The sequence below is a fragment of the Homo sapiens genome, chromosome 3, assembly GCF_000001405.40.
Source record: "Homo sapiens chromosome 3, GRCh38.p14 Primary Assembly".
In the NCBI taxonomy this organism is placed as follows: Eukaryota; Metazoa; Chordata; class Mammalia; order Primates; family Hominidae; genus Homo; species Homo sapiens.
In genome coordinates, this window is record NC_000003.12 from 167,315,263 (window position 1) to 167,337,209 (window position 21,947).

A 21,947-nucleotide genomic window follows, 5' to 3' on the forward strand; every position below is an offset into this window, starting at 1 on the left:
ACCATTATACTTCATTTGTTTACTTTATTATACGTTAAAATCTACCTAGGAAGTAATCTATAGTACAGGAGCTCTTTTAGTCTCTCAGCCTAATCATTTATAAAACTTTTTATTTAGGGTTCATAGAAAACTGAACAAAATCCAGAGTATCTTTAGAGAGAAGAAGAAAGCTCATATGAAACATATCAAAGTTGATCAACCATTTCAGAGGATAACAACCCCTAAGTTCAGAAGAATGTATTAAATAATCCAAATATTAGGTAAGAGTACAAACCTATCACTATAGACAGTTTTCTAATTGCTGAATGTTATTAAATATCAGCAATATTGTATACATATTTAAGCATGGGTTAAGTAAAATATACTCTGACATTAATGTCACATGTTTTTTCACACCACATATTTCACATTTAAAAAGACAGATGATTTTGTGTGTGTGTCAGGAGGGGGCTCAATATGCACACAAAGTTAATTAGAAAGGTTTTACCTTCGTTGACTGTCTGCATCAGCTAATTTAACTTTGTAAGGCACAATATTTTCTGCTTCTTCAAATTCCTCTTCATAAGTCTTATTAAATTAATGTTATATAATATTAGTAAGTTCATAAAAATTTATTACACATTAACCAACTTACTTATGGGTGATATTTGGAGTACATTTTTCCTACAAATGATGTTATGAGAGCTCTAATTATATTTTATAACACATAAGTTCTAGGAGAACTAAACAAATTCAACTGACATTGGTTGATATGTCAATTACTTTATCACTATTATAATACCCCAATCCAACAATAATAACTTATATTTAAGTATGTAGCTACTACCTGCCAAGTAGATTAGTGACTAGGAAGTTGTCAGTTCTCTGACTGGCTCATCATAAACTTACGCTGTGTATCAACAATGTAATGAATGGCATGCCCACATGTATGTAGTGTGTGTGTTTTTGTCCAGTCTCTCAAATTTATCCAGAGGAGAAATAAAAATGTTGTTAGCCAAAAAACACAAATAACAAAAATAGCAGAAGCTTTCAACCTAAAGAAGAAAGGAAGAAAGCAGTATTTAAAAGAGGTAAGTTCTCCATTCTAGTCATTTTCTTAACAACCACAGTAAGAGAAATATCTAGGACAAGTGGCACATTCAGCTACTATATTACTAGAAAGTCAGAAATGCACTGAGTGTATCACACCCTAAACCTTCAGTCCAGAGCTCTAGCTCTGACAGGGTCTGGCTCTAGTTGATGCTATTGGTGTCTTCTACATATGTTCAAGTTATGTTCAAGTTATTTGACTGAACTTCTTAAGTCTTACACACTATTTCTACATTTAAACGGAAAATAATATTAAATGACATTCAAGAAACTAAATTTACACTTATATTTTAATAGGTACCATGTAACGAGACTGATATTTGTTTAAAAACTTGATAACATAGAGAACTAAACTAATAAAATATCAAACTACATATCTATAAGTTAAAATAGTGAAATGTCTTCTTACCTCCCATAATATATTCATCCAAAAAAATTGACAATACCAGTTTAGCTCACAAATTTACTGTTTACATTCAGAATAATATTGTTTTATTCTTATAAGCATATTTAAACCCAAACACTTGTAAATTTCCTATTAAACTATGTTAGTTATTTGAGAAATCTTATTGAAAATAATATGCAGATGTAAGTATACATTATGAATTCCCTGTTAAAAATCATGAATGGTCATTATGCACTTATGCACTTACATCATCCAGTTCGACTATCTTTAGAGATGGTTCAGGTCTCTCTATGTTTAATGTTTCTACTGGCAATAAAAGAGCTGTGTGTTGTACTTTGGTCTCCTCACCTAGGAAATAAGATTCACAAATAATATCATCAAAGAATATATCTTACTTTATAATTTCTTCAAATAAGATAGCCACCAAAAAAGAAGAGTGTTCTCATGTGTATCTACACAAAAATACAAATACTGTCAATTTTCCCAGTTCAAGTGAAATACACATTTATTAGCATTCAATTTTTAAATGAAACTATCTAAATCAAGGCAAAGTATATCTAGGGAAAGGGAAAGAAGTGAGTGTACATGATTTTCATCTAAAGAGAAAAGATTACATGGTACAACTGAGAATAATATATTAAAGAAAACCAAAAGCAGATTCTGATTAATGCTTAGTGTATATAACTTGAGACAATACATTTTAAAAATATCTAATCAAGTATGAACTAACCATCACTATCTTCATCGTTTTCATTTTGAGAACACTGTGCATCACCAGTGGTTTCATGTGGATGTGGGAACGTATCTGGTAGCATTTTAAAAAGTTGCTCTTGTGGAGTTCTACAAAATAAGAAAGAAGCAATTAAGAGACTGAAATATATTACCTGAAACTTTCCCAGACAAGCTCTTGATTTATTTATCAAATGAATGAGTATACAAAATTAATGATGAAACCGTAACTGTACCTTTAATTCAAAGATAAGTACAATTGTATAACAGAATCTTAATGTACTAAAAAAAAACTGTGTAAATCAACTTGACATCACAGAAGATTTTTAAATTGCATATCCTACTGAGTTTTGTTTAAGCTAAAAATCAAAGTTATGCTACAAGTCAGTGTTCTCTCAAAAGCCACATGGAGTCCATTAAAAACACCATGCTACTTAAAAAGCTAATTTATGAATGTGAGTTTTAGTTCACAGTCTTGGCATTGTGTTGATGAGTTCTACGGGAACCTGAGGGCATTTGTCTAAATTTCCATCCTACCAGCAGGGTGGTAACATAGGCTCCTACAATAAAAATGTAAGGTGTTCAGGCTGTGGTATCTATTACTTAATTAACAATGAAGACTGCTGCAGCCCATTTCATATGGAAGGCAGTGAAGCCCAGGAATTCACAGAGGTCAAGAGTGTATATTTGGTTTCATAGTATATAACCAAATTATTGGAGAGAAGGGTCACTTTTTAACCAAGAATATGAGTAGCTGCACAGCCTTTCCATACCATGCAAGTTCATAAAGTCCCCATGTAAAAGCCAGAGCCTTCTCAGTGATATTTGTAGTTAATATGGATACAAAATCTAAAATATACCAGGCTCCATTCTAACTAATTTTGGTACATTAAATTTTATTAGATATTAAATAGGCACTAGTATGATCTTAACTTTACAGAGGATGAGACTGAGACACAAAGTGGTGTACCGACTTGTTGAGTCATTCAGGTAGTGAATGCAGAAGAGGAATTTGAACTCAAGGAGTCTGCCTCCCAAAAACCATGTTCTTAACCACGTACTTCCTTTGTAATGCCTCTTCTGCAACTTTCAAAGGCATTAAAATTTTGATAAAATTGACAAGTGACTTTGGAATTACATTTATATGCCAATTGTTAATTAGAAAAAGGCAATTAACAGATACACACTACTGTTACACATATCCTCATTCACTTTTAAAATTTGAATAAATTTGTGGTGTACAGTTTTGTGGGTTTTTACCAATGCATAAAGTCATATGGACCACAGTACCCCCCAAAAAAAATAGCCTGAAGAGCTATTATGGGCATCATACTTTAAAAAATATATACAGCCTGGACATTAGTTATAAATGAATTACCTTAAACCTCTGCCATATAAGCTACTACAATGAGATACAACTACACGCCTTATTAAAATGTCAAACAAAAGAAAAAAAAACTGAATACCAAGTGTTGGCAGGGATTTGGAGCAACCAGAACTCTCGTACCTTGCTGGAGCAAATGCAAAATGGTACAGTCAATTTAGAAAAGAGTTTGGCAGTTTCTTATAAAAATAAACATGCACTTACCATATAGCCCACCTATCACAGTCCCAGGTATTTACCCAGGGAATTAAAAACCTATATTCAAGAAAAACCTGTTATGAAAATATTTTTAAAGGACCTAGTGATAATTGCCAAAAACTGGAAACCAGCCAGAACAAATATTGATTCATACAAGAACATGGATGAATCTTAAATGCATTCTGCTAAATGAAGGACATGAAAGGACGGATACTGTATGATTTCATTTATATGACCTCCAAAAAAAGGCACATTTGTAAGGGTGGACAACAGATGAATAGTTGTTACGGACTAAGAAAGGGAAGAGAAGAAAGAGGAAGCTCAAGGGAATGTGGTTGTAAGACTGTTTTTTGTGGGGGCAGGGGTACTGTGGTAGACACATGACTTTATGCATTGCTAAAAACCCATAGAACTGTACACCACAAGTTTATTCAAATTTTAAAAATCAGTGAGGATATGGGCTGAACCCAATGAAAGTCATACCAACCTTAAAGGAGGTAAGAAATAAATGAGCACTATGGCCAAAGTAATGTTGGAAAACATGGTTTGGCCTAGATACCGTAGGCTACAGATAAAAGCATGACACACAAAGACTGTACTCTAGGTGGAAAATTTGTTTCTTTCAGTGATATTATTAACAGTAATTTTGAAATTAATTGTCCCTTGTTTCTCTCAGTGATATTTGTGATTCTGAAACTACTGTATGTATACATACATATATATTTTAGGGCTAATTAATAAATATATTATAGATAATGAAAGCCAAGTTTCTCACTGTAAGTGAAAGAAATTTGTCAAATAAGCAAAGGGAGAATGGAAATGAATCATGTGATGCTGGTTTGGATTCGGAATGCCTGGGTGTGAATGCATGTTACTTTAATAGATATCCAGATGGATAGATACAGAAAAAAATTTATATGTGTGTATGTGGATTTGTGTGTGTGTGTGTGCACGCACGTGTGTGTGTGTGTACTTCCCAGTTTCTTCCTCTGAGAAGGCCTAGAATTGTGGCACCAGAATAGTAATGATCACACCTAGAGTCCAGATCTTTGTTTCTGAGCACCATTCTCCAATAAAGGGAACCAGTATTTTTTAGAAAAACAATTCCTTGGCTTGGGCAGGGAAAATGCATCTTGAGTTCCAGAAAAAAAAGAGATGTTCAAAGCAAACTAACCAAAAAAAAAAAAAAAAATTGATGACAACAAATCAAAAGGATGGAAGAGTCAACCCGACAGAGTCCACAATGGCCAAGGCAGAAATAATTTGAGTTGCAAAATAAATAACAATAATATTAGATATCAATCCCCAAAATAAAATAAATATTCATGAGTTGACATAAAGAAAAAATAATAAAAGTGGGTGAAGGAACACTTCTTTTAAGAGGAATTCCAACTAATAAATTTAGAAGGAACAAAGGAAATAGAATATCTGCAATAGAGCAGGAGAGTACTAACTGCTGCAGGCAAAATTCACTCACAAACTCTAAAATTAGGAGGTGAAAGTTTAAGGGAAAACAGAGTTGATGTATCATCTCAATGTGTCTCCTCTAAAATATTTATCAATTATAAAGGGAAAGTAGTGATTTTACAGTGGAGAAACTTAGCACCACCTTAACTATGTGATCAAGGTTAACATCATCTGTAATAAGATATATTGACATCACGATCCCAGAATGTCACGCACTGAGAAAGACACATACTCTCTGTGGCATTTTTCCTCACAGTGTATAACCTCAGTCTAATTATGAAAAAACATCAGACAAGCCCAAATTGAGCACATTCTATGAAACACCTGGCAAGTACTCTTCAAAAGTGTTAAGGTCATGAAAGGCAGGGAAAGACTGAAGAACTGTAATGGATAAGGAAATATGACAAAAAATACAATGTGTAATCCTGGACTGGATCCTGGAATGGGGTAAGGATAATAGTGAAAATGCTGATGATAAAATTAAGGTAAAATGTACAGTTCTCAATAATATTGTCCCTATGTAAGTTTCCTGGTTTTGATATGCACTATGTTTATGTAAGATGTTACCATTAGAGAAAGCTGAGTGAATGTTATTTGGGAATTCTTTGTGCTATTTTGAAACCCATCTGTATATCTTCTTTTCAAAATAATCCAAAAGAAAAAAAATCTAGCACATTACAAACAGTTGAAGGTGAGTGGTGGTGCGGGTATTAACCTATCTAGCAGAGGCTTCACGGGAAACATGAGGGCTGATTTCAAAAATCTGAAGAGATACCATGGAGAAGAAAAATTAGATTTTATCTGTATGGGCTTAATAGGTAGAATTAGAACCAAGTTTAGAAATTAGCTGGAAACAGATTACAGTTCAATGAATATCTCTTCCACAGATGGAATGGGCCACCTCGGGAGATGGTTTTGCGTAACTGAAGGTGAAGCAAGGGTGTGATGACCACTTCTCAGGCAAATTCTAGAGAGCTCCTCCAACAACTTGCACCTCAAAAAAAGACCAGAGACCAGCCTCATCCAACCATTATCACCTGGGAGCTATTAGAAATTCAGAAATACAGAATCTCAGGCCTCACTTCAGATCTACGAAAAAATAACCCATATTTTGCCACAGTTTCTAGCTGATTGTATCTGGTGATATCTCTTTGAATAAAGTATATTTAATTACTATTAATAAAATTAGAAAAATGTTTAATTAATTTAAAACTAGATTCTGAAAATTATAGTCTCAAATGTTAGTGCTAATATAAAAAACTGGTGTCTTCTCAAAGTAATATTTCATTTATCACATTATTTTTATTATTCTTCTTAAATTCATTTCTGCATTTGCGCCTTTTCCTTATATACACATTTCCATTTCTCAAGGAAAACTGTAAATTAATGATGCATCATATACATAAATAGAATTAAAATTCTTATTGGAACAGCAACTTCACAGGGATTTAATCTTGCTTTAAAATTATGTATGCAAATATGAAATATACATATAAAATTGCTATAGGAAGGCATGTCATACAAGAAAGAAACATAAATAACTTTCATATTTCCTAATAGTATTATAATTTCAGAAAATACCTCCTGTGTTTTTTAAGCCATAATTTTTCCATATAGGATAGAATGTCTTCTTTAAGTTCAATATTAAGTGGTTCTCTCCAAATTTTCAGATTAGTCTGTACTTCGCATTCTTCCAATGAGTCTGTAAAAATAAACACAATGTGCATAATTAAAATAAGCAAGTTTACAAATTACTATATCTTCTCTTAAGATGTAGAACTCATCATTTTTGGGGCATATATGCTTTAATATTTACTTATACAATCAATAGGTTAAGGTTTAAATAATGCAAAAGTATTAAATATTGGTAATTTATTAAGGGACTGGATAGACAGTTTTCTTCAACAATCTCTTGAAATGAAGGGATCTTATGATTCAGAAGGTTTGTTAAAGCAACTCATTCTTTTAAATAAAAATTATAAATACAAACATTCATTGTACATTGTATAAACACATACATAAAGGTATAATACACAGATGTATAAAGTGTTATAGCCACTGACAATAATATTTACACATTATGAGAAACAGGAAATAAATAATTCATAATGACATCTGGAGGAGACAATTTTCTTCACAAATTTATATCTACATGGTAATTTACTTCCAGATGTTTAAGATATTTCTGAAGCACTACTAAATTAAAATCACTATTCAGAGATATTTAAAACTGATGAAGATATCTAGGAAAGAAAGCAGTGTAAATCCATGATTACTAGTCTCTCCACCCTCCCACGTATCGTTCCTGTCTCCAAACTGAACATCACAGGGGAAAAAAAATGTAGGAGAATCAAGGGAAATAGTAAAGATGGGAAAAACATTTTTTTATAAACTAAGGCTAGAGGGTGTCCCAGCCTCATATTGTAGACTTCAATGATTAACTGCCAGAAACAGCTACGGGCCAGCAATGGAAACAAATTAAAGTAAAAATAAAGTAAGGAATCCCACTTCTATTTTTCCCAAAGAGTAGAGCAGTGTTGAAGAAAGCAATTGGAAAAAGTTTGGGAAAACACTGATCAGAATCCCTTGAACTGAAAGAGCAGAGTTAAGGACATGAGCAAGTCATGAGAGAGAAGAAATGCCTCCACTATGAGTCCCCCTTTTCATTTTGAAACAAGATTTCTTGACAGGAGAGCTAAAAGAGGGGGGGGGGGGAAAGAACTCTTTTGTTTTTGCTGTCTAGATGTTAGAGAAGAGCCACTGTGCTTGAGATATAAACTCTAAACACAGAAGGGTGATGGAAGAGGAAGAAGATAAAGCAGCTGGCCCGTGATTCACTTTTCTCCCTTACCAATGGCACATTCCCAAGAAATAAAGATGGGAGGTGACCTGGGTTAATTTGTTTGTGAATATGTTGATAACTGGACCTACAGGCAAATGAATTAATAATATTTGCTGGGAGGAGACTCTTTAGCTATATGGTGTATTTAAAATGCTAGCTCTTGTTTAGAATTGCTTGTCGTAAACAAACTTACGGATTTATGAGGCATGGCTCCCTGGGAAATGCCAAATAAGGTATGTAACTTATGTTTTTATTTGCTCCCTTCTTTCATGGTTCACTGGCTACATTGTATAAGAATGTGCATAAGATTCTCCATCCTCAAATTGATGGGATCATGGGTGTTTTCCTTAATAGATAGTGCAAAAGTCCTGATGGGAAAGTATGCCTAAAGTATGTGAAGAACGGGTAGAAGTCAAGAGTGGCTGAAACGAAACCAGCCATGCCTGCAGGAGAGTAACAGGAGATGAGATGTCTGAGATAATGGACTTCAGATCACACATAACTTTCTAGGCCATTGAAAGTACCTGCCTTTCACATAGAAGGAAATGAGATTTTAGAATACTAAAACAAAACCAAGTTAAAAATCAATAACAGAAATAACTAGAAAACTAGAAATTTAAAGCATACTATTAAGCTGAATGGTCAAGAAATATGTGAAAAGATGTTTCATGTCATTTGTAATAAGAGATACACAAAATCATCTCTATTAAGCAAAAATTTTTAAATCTCACAATATTAAATGTTAGTGATAATGGAAAGCAAACAAAATTCTTTTTTTTTTCTTTGTGATAGGCTCTCACATTGTCACCCAGGGTGGAGTGCAGTGGCATGATCATAGCTCACTGTAACTTTGAAATTCTGAGCTCAGGTAATTGTTGACCCTCAGCCTCCCACGTAGCTAGGACTATAGGTTCACATTATCATGTATGACTTTTCTTTAAATTTTGTGTAGAGATGAGGTCTCACTACATTGCCCAGGTTGGTCTTAACCTCCTGGCCTCCTAAAGTGCTGAAGTTACAGACATAAGCCAGCAGACCCAGTCTCTTTCTTAATTAAGGGATTCCAGAGCTGTGACCTGGCTTAGGTCTGAGGACTTCATAAAAAACTGAATCCCCAATATGGTGGCTGAAGCCGGCTCTCTGCCCATTAAACAGAAATTTTCTTCTACTATAGGTAAAACAGTAGGCTGCATGACTTTTTCATTCCTAGGCACACCAATTATCGTCAGAAATCTCTGTGAATTGAAACACTGATCACTACTCCTCCTTGACCCTTACTTCGGTAACTTTTTCACCATAATTTTGAAGATTGTGTGCCAACACCTGGCCTCTATCATTTCCATTCTTTGAAATCAGGATGCTTGGTCCCATTGAAGCATTCCCCTCCAGTCATCTTCAGCCTATAGAGGAAGGCCACAACAAACCTTTTTAAGTATTACGGTGCTTAATGCCTTGGTAATGACAGCTAAATAGGTTGCACATTATCGGTTCCAAAATTCCTATCTCCCAAAGCCTTCCAACTTCTTCTTCTACAAAATGGCAGGGAAATTACAGCATCTCAATCTCATAAACTTTCAAATCAAGTCCAGTTTTCAATTAACCAACCCGCCCAATTGTTACTGCCATTCCTGAAGTGCTTGAGACAAAACACTAAGATCCAAATCCTGTGCGAGTACATCTACATTGATAAAAACAATCTCATCTAATCTGATTTGTTTTTTATTTCTTAATCTAACACTGTTAAATGTCTTCTTCTACTTGCTTTCCAAACTCGTGTGATACAGTTGAAAAGAGGCAGTGCCTGCTATTTTCACTTGGCATATTAATCTGTTCTCACGCTGCTAATGAAGACATACCCGAGACTGGGTCATTTATAAAGGAAAGAGGTTTAATTGATTCATAGTTCCACATGGCTGGGGAGGCCTCATAATCATGACAGAAGACAAAGGAAGAGCAAAGAGACTTCTTACATGGTGGTGGGCAAGAGAGAGCTTGTGCAGGGAACTCCCATTTATAAAACCATCATATCTTGTGAGACGTATTCACTATCACGAGAACAGCACAGGAAAGACCCACTCCCATGATTCAATTACCTCTCGCCGGGGCCCTCCCACAACACGTGGAAATTATGGGAGCTACAATTCAAGATGAGATTTTGATGGGGACACAGCCAAACCATAACACCTGGTATGGACGTGGGCATTGCACTTCTTCATCCAAATTATACTAATCATTTGATTTTTTTGACCTCCACTTAGGCTGTAAGTTCCAGACGAAGTTGCTACTGCTTTTGCACATCATTTGACCCCACCACATAGCGTGTACTCAATATTCGCTGATAGAATTATTATTGAGAGTAATGTTGTATACCTCTAATATGTAAAACATTACTTGTGCCCAAATATTAGCAAATAATAAAAATAAAAGGTAATGACAAAAATAGCCAATATTGTCTACTTCACAAATAACAGTAAAAAGCCAGTTATAATGATAATAATTTATTGTCAACCAAACTGGCTAAAGTTAAAGAACCAGAAAATGCAGGAAAATAGTCATGTCACACTCTACCAGTGAGAGTACAACCAACACAGTAATCTTTTTGGAGGCCAGTTTGACAATATTCATTAAAATTTTATAAAACAAGTCACCACTGAGGCAACATTTCTATATTTAGAAATTTATTTTAAGGTAAATATGTAAGTGCACAAATAGCTAAGATGCCCATCATAATATCTTTTAAATACTGGGAATTAGAAATAAAATATCCATCGATAAATGTCTGATTAAATCATGCCATATAGAATACTCTACAAGAGTTACAAATGATTGTGTGTATCTCTATTTAGATGGCCAGTTGCCCATTACAGAATCTCAGTGAAAATGCAAGTTAACTAATAGTATTTAGTGTTACCTCATTTTTTTGTGTGAGTATGTGTGTGTACATAACTATGGTTATTGAAAAACATGTACCAAAATGTTAACATGGATTTTCTCTATATGATGAGACTGAGGTATTTTCATTTTCTTCTTGGTAACTTTTTGTTATAACCAAGTCTTTCAAAATAAGCATTCATTATTTTATCATACAGTTATTTCCATTATGAAGAACAAATTTTAAAAGAGTTATACTTCTGATCTGGTGACTTTTCAACTTGGTACAGTATTATTTTAAATACTATGGCTTCCAAAGCAGACAAAGAAGAATTTCTATAGAATAATTAGTACTTTTCAGAGTTGACAAGTCAAAAAAAAAATTGCATGAAGTAGCAAGCATAAAGCACATAAAATAACACAGCCAATGAGAAATGAGGTGTATACTGAGATATAAACTACTAAGAAGACAGCATCCAAATAATGTCTTGAAAATGTCAATGAAATTGATGTGTGATAAAGAAATGTAGAAAAATACTTGAAGAAAATTTATTTAAAAGTTTAATTATAATTAGAAGACATTGTTGATACTTTGAGATTAGAAATTACACTGTGTAATAAAAGTGTAATAGTCAGAAGAGTTTCTCCAATGGAAAAAAAATGAAATAAAAATAGTAAAATTGGCAAGTAAGATACATGATTGAAATTTATTATCTAACATTTTATATTAAATGAAAAGCAATTGGAAGACACTACAAGATTCTGAGTAATAAAATTAATAAATTGAATACTTTTAAAACTTATGGTTTTCCTCAAGACATACTGGGAAACTTCAACATACTGTTCAGTCATCTGGATCATCAATGTCTAGAATGTAGGAGCGAAATTATAAAAAAAAAAAAAAGAACGAAAAGTAGTTCAAAAAGAAACAAAAACAATGAGAACGCAAATCAATTCTCCTCCTGAAGTTCATAGTGGTCCTTAAAATTGTATTTTTAAGTCAAATATTCTAAAAAAAAAAAATTCCTCTTTATCTCACAGACTCTCCCATTTTATGTGTTACAATTACTGCTCAAAAAAGCAATAGTTGTCCTGGCAAAAATTTCTACTAGAAGAAGAACTGAAAGAATCCAATTATCCATTCATTTGACAGTCTGAATTTACACAGAAAACAAATGCAAATCCCCCTAGTGCCCAATTCAGGGCCTATAAATATTAAACCACTCACCAATGATCACACAGTGCATACTCCTTTGAGGAGTTATAGCAAACTGCTGTCCCAGTGTTTATAGATTTTGAATATCACATTTATATTCACAGAGAATGGAGGTAAATAAACTAAAGTCAGCTTCATTTTAAAACATTCATGGTATAAAAAACCATACGGGCTGGGCACAGTGGCTCATGTCTGTAATCCCAGCACTTTAGGAGGGGAGGCAGGCAGGTCAGGAGGCCAGGAGTTTGAGACCAGCCTGCCCAACATGGCAAAACCCCGTCTCTACTAAAAATACAAAAATTAGCCAGGCATGGTGGCACGCACTTGTAATCCCAGCTACTCAGAAGGCTGAGGCAGGAGAATTACTTGAACCCGGAAGGTGGAGGTTGCAGTAAGCCAAGATCACGCCGCTGCACTCCAGCCTGGGCAACAAAGTGAGACTCTGTCTCAAAAAAAAAAAAAAAAAAAAAGCCATACCTTTTACTGCTGCATGTAAATTCTGTTTCTTGTTGTCATCATGATTTCCGGTTCTCCATTGACTTAACACTTCCTGAAAGGACTGTGCAGAAGCTTCTTCATCGAATGACCCTTCACACAACAGACTCTTTCTTGGTTTTGTACGTTGTGCTCTTTTCATCGTTGTAATTTCTACCTAATTAAAAGGATACATAGGCATGCTTTATTAAATTTTCTGTATTTACCCACAAAAATTGTTTTAATAAAAAAATTCTGTGTTTTAAAATACAGGTAGAACTAATTATTAGTCATCACAAATCAGACTTTTTAAACTTAGAATATTTTTAAGTTGTGCTTATTTATATGCTTTACTCTGTTATTTAAAACTCTATTGGCAATTATAAATGGTCTCTTCAGAAATCATGAAGATGACAGCCTACAGAACTAATGACTTATCATTATGCTGTTCACCAGTGTTCTCTCTGTAAAGGTGCAATTGCCTTGTATCCATTCTCCCTACGCCTCCAATCTCCTACTCCCCGCAACCTTCTCATATCAAAAAAACAGGGTTTTTTTTTAATGTAAATCTGATCAGACATTCCCCTGCTCAAAACTCTCTGTTGACTGTCTATGAAACCCCAAGTTCCTACCAGGACCTACACCGCCCTACACAACCTTGTATTTCCTTGCCTTTTACTTTACCTCCTTCCATTCTCCTTTCATTCACCCTGTACCAGCTAGTCTCACATTCTTGCAGTTCTGAGAACCCATCAAGCACATTGCCTCTTCAGGGCCTTGTATTAGCTATACCCAATGCCTGGAATGAGCCTTCTCCATATCTTTACATAGCCATTCCCTCATTTTGTTGACTCAATGAAATGCTCAAATATCACCTACTCAGAGAGTTCCTCACTACCAATTCTAAAACTAATAGGCCCCCTTTCCCCCATTTAATAATTCCTTAACTGTTTTATTCTTCCTCCCATTACTTACTCCCATGTGACTTTATTCTATATGTTTATTTATTGCCTGTCCTTCCCCATTAGTATATAATGAAGTTGTGGATTTTGTCTTTTTTCTTAGTGCCAAGACCTGTGCCTGGCACAAAGTAGGTGTTCATTAAAAGTCAGTGGAATGAATGAAGAAGTTCATCGATGCATGTAATACAATGCATGCTCCTCAGATTAATGATGGTTGTGGAGAGATGAATTCAGTACAAAATATAAATCCAGTCCAAGCACACAAGAAAATGAAGGAAGTATTTGGAAGCTATGCAGTGAATCAGAGAGAACAGCCACATTAGGAAACCCAAGCAAAGTAAAACCCACACCAATGGCTGAATTATCAAATGTGGATTACCTACACTGGTCAAATTGCTAAATATCCATGTGTATCTTTTAAGACATGAGAGTATAAATCTCTATGTTCAGCCCGCAATTGAAAAATAAACAGGCAGCTTGTTAGAGTACAATTCAGGGTATATTGTTAAAGACGTATATAAGAAATTTTAAATACGAGCAAAAAGTATCTGAGGACCTGTCAGACACTAGACACCATGCTAACCGTTGGCCACAGAAACACAGGTTAATAAGTCCACAACAGAAAAAGGTGCAAGAAGCAGGTAAAACTCAGGGGAAATGATGTCTGAATTGGATTTTGAAAGATAAAACAAGAATTCCATAAGCAAAAAGTGCCAAAGGCAGCATTCCAGAGAAAGGAAATGATACGTATGCTAGGACATGGGAGTCAAACAGCATTGGTGGCATGGAACTATAAGCAGTTTGCATTGATGTAGCAAAAAGTAAAGAATGAGAAAATATAAAGGGTAGAAAGGAAGCAGGGGAAGAATATCAAGGGCTCTGCCTGCTGCACAGAGGAGCTTAAACCCATTGGACATGTAAAACCATTGTAAAGTCCCATATACCAGTGTGGCAAAGAGAGGGAAATTATAAAATAGTGTGTTTGGCTGCAAGGAAACCAATTAAAATGTTACAGACATTTGCCCACATTGATCAACATTACAAATGCATAATTTTTTATCTAGGAGTTTCAGGATTTTATCATACTGATATACTTACATTTGTGCAAAACCACATTATTCAAAATTATACTTTATATTTTAGCATATACTGGCAAAAGACTGAAATAGCATAAATGCTGATCAGTGGAAGATAGATTTTTAAAAGTCTTTTCACATCCAATAAATGGAGTATTTTACAGCCACTACATAGAATGAGAAGGTTGTAGGATGTACTTATGTGAATATAAAAACTACAAAGTTAAGTGAAAAAAAATGCAGAGCAAACATGTTTGTAGAGAAAACATATTAACGTTTGTGTAAAAAATACATACAAAACCAGAAGGGTTGCCTGACTCCTAGAAGAGAATGAAATGCACTTTCCATTTATAAACCTTTTTTTAAAGAAGAAATTTCAGTATCTAAAAGAGCAATAAGGATAGAATAAATGACCAAACATTCAAGAGTTTTTAGCTGGGAGCCTATATGGGACATGATAACTATTGTGGACTGAATTGCATCACCGTGCACAAATTCATATGTTGAAGCCCTAACCCCCAATGTGACTACATTTTGAGATAGGGCCTATAAGGAGGTAATTGAGGTTAAATGAGATTATGAAGTTGAGGCCTTAATCTAATAGGATTGGTATCCTGTTAAGAAGAGGGAGATAGTTGGACGTGGTGGTATGCACTTGTGGTCCCAGTTACACAGGAGGCTGTGGTGGAAGGAATGTTTGAGCATGGGAGGAGGTTGCAGTGAGCTGAGTTCACACCACTGCATTCTAGTCTGTGCAACAGAGCAAGACTCTGTCTCACATGAAGAAGAAGAAAAGAAGAAAAGGAGAAGAAGAAAGAAGAAGAAGAAGAAGGAGGAGGAGAAGCAGAAGCAGAAGTAGAAGAGGAAGAGGAGGAGGAGGAGGAGGAGGAGGAGGAGAAGAAGAAGAAGAAGAAGAAGAAGAAGAAGAAGAAGAGGCATCATATATCTCTTCTCTCTCCTCTCTTTCTTTCTCTCTCTCTCTCTCTCTCCCCCACTCCCCTTCTGTATGCATGTGCATACAGAAGAAAGGCCACATAAGAACACAGCAAGAAGGCAGCCATCTAAAAGCCAGGAAGTAAAGCCTCACCAGGAACCAATACTGCCAGCACCTTTATCTGGGACTTCTAGACTACAGAACAGTAGAAAATAAATTTCTCTTGTTTAAACCGCTCAGTTGGAGGTATTTTGTTATGGCAGCCTGAGAAGGCTAATAAAGGTAACCAACTGAATGTGCAGAGGAGGAAGTGAAAATACTACAGAAAATAACTGCCTTTGTTGGCTTGGAAAGCTAGGTAGGGCGCCTCCAACAATAACATTTATAGGTTTTGGAAAAGACAGGATAAATTTAGTTTAAAGATAGAGTCTTAGGAGTATTTGTGAGAAGGTACTTATTGGTATCCAGTAAGCAATATGTCAGTGTATGTATGTATACATGCTACACTAATGAACAAGCATTGAAAACTCAGTGGCTTAATACAAAATGATTTCAACATGCAGCAATTTCAGCAGCCCTCCAGGGAAGCTTCCTTCCAAGCAATGAATCAGAGATGTCAGACATTTTCATATTGGAGTTATGCCATTGGAATACCTGGCTTCCACATAGCTGTGGCAGGGTAGAAAAAGCTGGAGGGTTGTACATTAGCTCTTAAACGTTTCAGCTCAAAACTGTCATATATCACGTCCACTCAGAGTCCAATATGACCTTGCCCAATGCTAAAAGAAATTTGAAGACGCACATAGAAATTCAATGCTGTACATTCATTACCCTGTAAGCACATGATATCCCTGTAAGATGATGTGTTTTAATATCCCCACTTTCCAAAGGAGAAAACAGAAGAGCAAAAAAGCTAAGTAACTTGCCCAATATTACAATGCTATAAGAAAAACAGCATCACTATTTCAAACCCAGGTTTCGGCTTATAAGATGTAAGCTCTTTCGTGAACTGTACCTCTTTCCAAGGATGTGCCATTGGCTTTGATCCATTAAAAAGGCCATAAGAGAAGCATCAGGCATTGGTACCATTTGGCTCTTCTAGCCATTAAATTAAAAATAAGACTCTTGAGCCCTAACCCAGATGTAAATATTTTTAAAAATCCAAATTTGGTGGCAGACCCAGGAATGCAAGTTTTTAACAATCTCCAATTCTTATGATGCTTATTACAGTTGGAGGAGCACTGCTCTTTGGCACAGAGGAACACTAAGCCTATGAAGCGGTTATCTCTTCATTGTGTACTCTGTCGTATATAGCAGTGACTCCCAACAAGAACACTCACCAGAATCACTGAGGAGTTAAACACACACACACACACACAAACACACACACACACACGTCTGAACCCCACCCACGGAGATGCTGAACTCAATCATATGTATTTCTTTAATGTTTCTCTAGTTGATTTTAATATACACTCCTGGATGAAATCATTGAATTAATGGTTTTTAAGTTAAGACAATGAGGCAGACAATGTATACAGCATGCATAGTTACCTATGAAGACCAGAAGAAACATCTAGTGTAAAGATTAATAAATAACACAGAGGAGCCTACTCTATCACTTTCTAGTAAGGCTAGTTACTGAATCTCTCATCTTTCTCATCTGTTAAATTGGGGTAATAAAAGCACAAACCTTACATGGTTATTGAGATTATTGGATAAGGCAAGTAAAGCATTAAGCACAATGCCTAGCATAAGGTGTTCAATAAAAGTTAGTTGCTGATTTATTTTTGATAGGATTAATTAGATGAAAAGGGAGGCACGAAGAAGAAACTTTTAAAACCACAGTCTCTGCAAAATAGTTAAATGCAGGAAATTTGGAGTCAGAAGGTCTGAGCTGAAATCTAAGTTCCATTATCAATTCTACCTTTGGCAATTTATAAAAACTATTCCCTGCCACTATTCTCTCATTTGAAAAAGAGGAATAATTAAGAAAAGACAAAAGGAGATAATGTGTAAAATATTTAGGGCAGTGTCTGGTCTTCAATACATTATTATTATAATTAGGAGGCAGTGATTCTTCACAAAACATCCTTGACAGGTCTATTAGAAAGCGAAATCCACACAAATATGCTGACACTCCTGAAAAATTCAAGCACACTCCCTCTGCTGAAAATAGGTCCTACTAGCATAGAACACATTTTCTTTTATGTCTATGAGCATGGGTTTGGAACGCAACAGATTTAACTTCAACCCAGACTTGGTCAAAATATAACAAGCAGAATGACTTCAGCTAAGTTACAGTTTTTGAACTGCAGGGAAAAGGTGACTGGCATCTAAAAGAATGAGGATTATAACATAGATCAAAATTTGAAGTTCATTTCTTGCTAAAGAATCAATATGTCTATTATAAATATATAGACATGAGTTGATAAAAGCTTATCTAGCATGTTGTCAGATCAGCAGTCAATCTAAATAACTGCCAGAATTTGGTATAAATCTGGTTTTATATAACTGTGCAATTGCCTGTCACTTAAAACTCTGGGCAAGGTTTTGTATTTTTAGCTTCTCTGAATGAAGTCCTGACTAATATAAAATTGTTATATTGCATTGTGGTTTTTAAAAAAATGTTTTCCCCAAATACTCATCCAATTCCTGACATGGATGAAAATGTCCAGAAAGACATATGGTCAAAAGATCATTCACCAAAAAGAGTAGTGTTCAGTGGAATCAAAGCAGGCTTCTTGAAAATATTTTTATAGTCAAGATGTATTTGGTTAATGAAGAACAAATCCATATGAAATAAAAATGTGATGAAATTATTGGTGAAATTCTATAGCTCAAGTTAAGTACATGAATGGCACCTGCCATAGTTACATATGTCAGAAAATGTCTACTATATTTTCCTCAGTTTACCTCAGAGCTGCTCCTCTGGAGAAGTACAGATTTGGGTTTATGTTGAATTTTACTGGTTTCCTTTGTAGAATTATTCTCCTCTTTGGGTTCATCTGGATTAACATCCTTTATAAACTGATGGGCAACATCCAATACATTGAATAATATTTGAGATTTTGCCTATTAAAAAAGTAACAATATAATTAAAGCGCCTCATATGTTAACCTAAATAATTTATATACATTAACTCATATTTGTGTTATTCTATGACTCCCAGAATTAAATAAATTCAATTTAATATTTAAAAAGACAAATTGGCATTTGTATCAACAAGTATAATAGTGACAGCTGCCATCTACTGAGGGAACTAGTTTGGCCTCATACAATTCAAACCATCTTAAAAACAATATATCACTTAATCATCAAGGCAATTCTAAAACATAAATATTTTTATCTGTTTTAGGAATTAAGAAAACTAAAGCTTAGGCCGGGCGTGGTGGCTCGCTCCTGTAATCTCAGCACCTTGGGAGGCTGAGGCTGGCAGATCATTTGGAGGTCAGGAGTTCCAGGACAGCCTGGCCAACATGGTGAAACCACATCTCTACTAAAAACACAGTAATTAGCCAGGCATGGTGGTGTGTGCCTGTAGTCTCCGCTACTCGGGAGGCTGAGACAGGAGGATTGCTTGAACCCAGGAGGCGGAGGTTGCAGCAAGCTGAGATCAAGCCACTGCACTCCAGCCTTGGCGACAGAGCAACACTCCATCTCGAAAAAAGAAAAAAGAAAGAAAAGAAACTAAAGCTCGGAGAGTTTAAACAACTTGCCCTTGGTCACAGTGCTGAGTGGGTGCCAGAGTTAGGAAGTGACCTCAGGTGTGTATAAGTCTAATGACTCATAAACTTTCCACTATGCACACCCCCAAATAGATAGATGCGATATTTTGTGCACATCATAAATAAAGAACTAAATATAGCTAATCTAGTAGGAGACTGAATAAGCAGTAATGACTACTCCATGGTGATAAAACGTCTTTAGAAAGCCTTCACTATCCAAAGGGGTACATCAGGAAGCACTTCTCTCTGTAGTTCCTTAATAAACTCCAAGTCATTTCTCATTTTGTTCCTTGCTCATGAGGCTCACTTACTAGGGAGGCTTTCTCTCCTCTACCATCATCTTTACCTGGCAGGCTTTTGCTTCTCCTCTGCATTCACGCCATTACTCCAACAAGTCTAGGAACCCTTCCTTGCACACTGCACTACCCCAACTGTACACGGTATTTACCCTCTTTACCCTCTTAATATCCTGCGTAGATCTCTACCAGCCCTAACTATATTGATTTCACATTTCCTCATATCACATAAGCTCACAAAAGGAAAAAACATATATATTTTAATGATTTTATGGCTACTACAGTTTCTGGAAAAATAGCATACGGTAAAAATAAGGTGTCAGGGAAGGAAAAGAGCTACAGAATTAAAATAAGTAATTTAGAAAAGGGATTTAAAGAAAAACTTTTCACATGCTGTCAGAGTGACTGACAAAGAACTGGCAAATTTGGGGAAGGCCCCATTCTCTGAAGGGTTTTCTATCAGAAACTACCAGAGTCTGCCTAGGGACTGCAGGATTTAGGATCCTATCTGAGTTTGAATTAAACTCCAGGGGTAAGATTCAGAATCGTCAGATGCTCTGTGAGAACTTGGCATGAGGAAGACAGGAAGTAGCTCTTATTTCTTAGCAAATATCCTCCAAACAAGAAAAATTTAGCAGGGATCAGATAAAATTATTTTGTACTCTGCCATGAAAATGCTCCTATTTTTAAATTTTCATCTAGTTGCCAATTTAGATAGCTAACATTACATTGAAACTTTTTCAGTTATGACATTTGTAAATCTATTAAGATTCATTGCAGTCTGATTCTGGAATATATCAGTGAACATCAAATTAACTAGTGTTATTTCATACTGAATTAATAAAATACCTATGAAAAATGATGAACGTGACCTATGCATATATATTGCTGTCTGTATGCAAATCTGTGGAATCTGCTCCAAATTTTCCCAATGATTCTCAGAAAACCTATATAGGCCTATATAGTCCTTTTATTTTTAAAAGAAATTCAAGTCAATGGTAATGCTTCACTCTTTCAGAAACATCTGTAGTTTTACCAACATTTTTAAAACAGAATAATCCAAACTAAGCCTCATTTAAAATGTCCTAGAATAAAGGTCTGTAGATTTCAGAGGCAGTTAGTTCCATGTTTGGTTTTCATTTTATTTTTTTTAAAATATCAAAAGCTATAGGATTAATTTTATATAAAATTATCATTCAAATATATGTTTATTTAAGTAACACAAAACAAAGATTATTTCTGTCCTAAAATGAATCCTGCTATCAATGTTATAATAATTGTTATAACATTTTTAGGTAGCATATTAAGAGAATCAGAAATAGTGAAAAACCCACATTTTTTATGCTAAAAAATAAGATAAACATCATAGGTAACTGATAAAATAGAATTCCATATTTGACTATCTTAAAGTTCTGCTACTTTAGTACATAAATGAAATCAATACAATGCAAATAAATGGAAATGTTCTTTTCTAGAACATCATACTCTTAAACATTACTTTTCTCCATTGTAAGGCTGTGTATGTATACCTTACTTTTCTTAATCTTAGAACAATCATACAAAGAAAGAGAGCAGATATTATGATTCCCATTACATAGACAAGGAATTTCAAGTTCAGAAAGCTTAGGCCAAAGTCAAATGGCTACAAAATGTCGTGACTTGAAATAGAGTCAAATTATCTATTCTAGCTTAATTAACCTTTTTCCCTACTAGATTTATGTTAGTCTTTGTGATACAGAAAATGTGTTTTACCTTTGATTTCCCGAAACTGAAAATATTAAATTTTGTCTCTAACAGATTTGAACATTGTTCTTTGCTTTAAAAACTCACAAAACTTTAATTCTGTATTCAATTGCATATGCAAGGATTAAGGGGTTTAGTTTTGTTTGTTTCTTTGCTTTTAACTTATTTTTGCCTGTTTATTTTTATATTTGACCAAGTATATAGAAATAAATCATAGTCATACCATATAAAAAATTTAAGGAATGGAGGTTCCTCCTATTTTCAAGCATACTTTCTCTGCTGAAAATAGGTCCTACTAGCACAGAGTACGTTTTATTCTATATCTATGAGTATGGGTTTGGAACTCAACAGACTTAATTTCAACCCAGACTTGGTCACCACATAACAAGCTGTGTGACTTCGGCTAACTTACAGTTTTTGAACTGCAGGGAAAAGGTGAGTGGTATCTAAAAGAATGAGGATTATAACATAGATTAAAATTCGAAGTTCATTTATTGCCAAAGAATCAATATAACTATAGTTTAATTATATT

At 34.8% G+C, this 21,947-nt stretch overlaps 1 protein-coding gene across 23 annotated transcripts in view; it reads right to left on the bottom strand.

Moving 5' to 3' along the window:
* Nucleotides 1–21,947, bottom strand: part of ZBBX (zinc finger B-box domain containing) — a 229,485-nt gene that overhangs the window by 136,861 nt on the left and 70,677 nt on the right. For 19 of the 23 annotated variants that reach the window (XR_924174.3, XR_924173.2, XM_024453753.2 and 16 more), the window contains 6 exons: nt 18,565–18,723; nt 12,680–12,854; nt 6,855–6,975; nt 2,226–2,335; nt 1,743–1,843; nt 488–567 (listed from right to left, as the gene is read on the bottom strand). Coding sequence is in view for 20 of the 23 variants with exons in the window: in XM_024453753.2 (XP_024309521.1) it covers nt 488–567; nt 1,743–1,843; nt 2,226–2,335; nt 6,855–6,975; nt 12,680–12,854; nt 18,565–18,723 (746 nt within the window). In the remaining 3 variants the exon portion in view is untranslated. Of the gene's footprint in view, nt 1–487; nt 568–826; nt 1,035–1,742; nt 1,844–2,225; nt 2,336–6,854; nt 6,976–12,679; nt 12,855–16,302; nt 16,427–18,564; nt 18,724–21,947 lie in introns of those variants that run through there. The other 4 variants (XM_011513155.2, XR_924177.3, XM_011513153.3 and 1 more) reach the window with 4 other exon arrangements.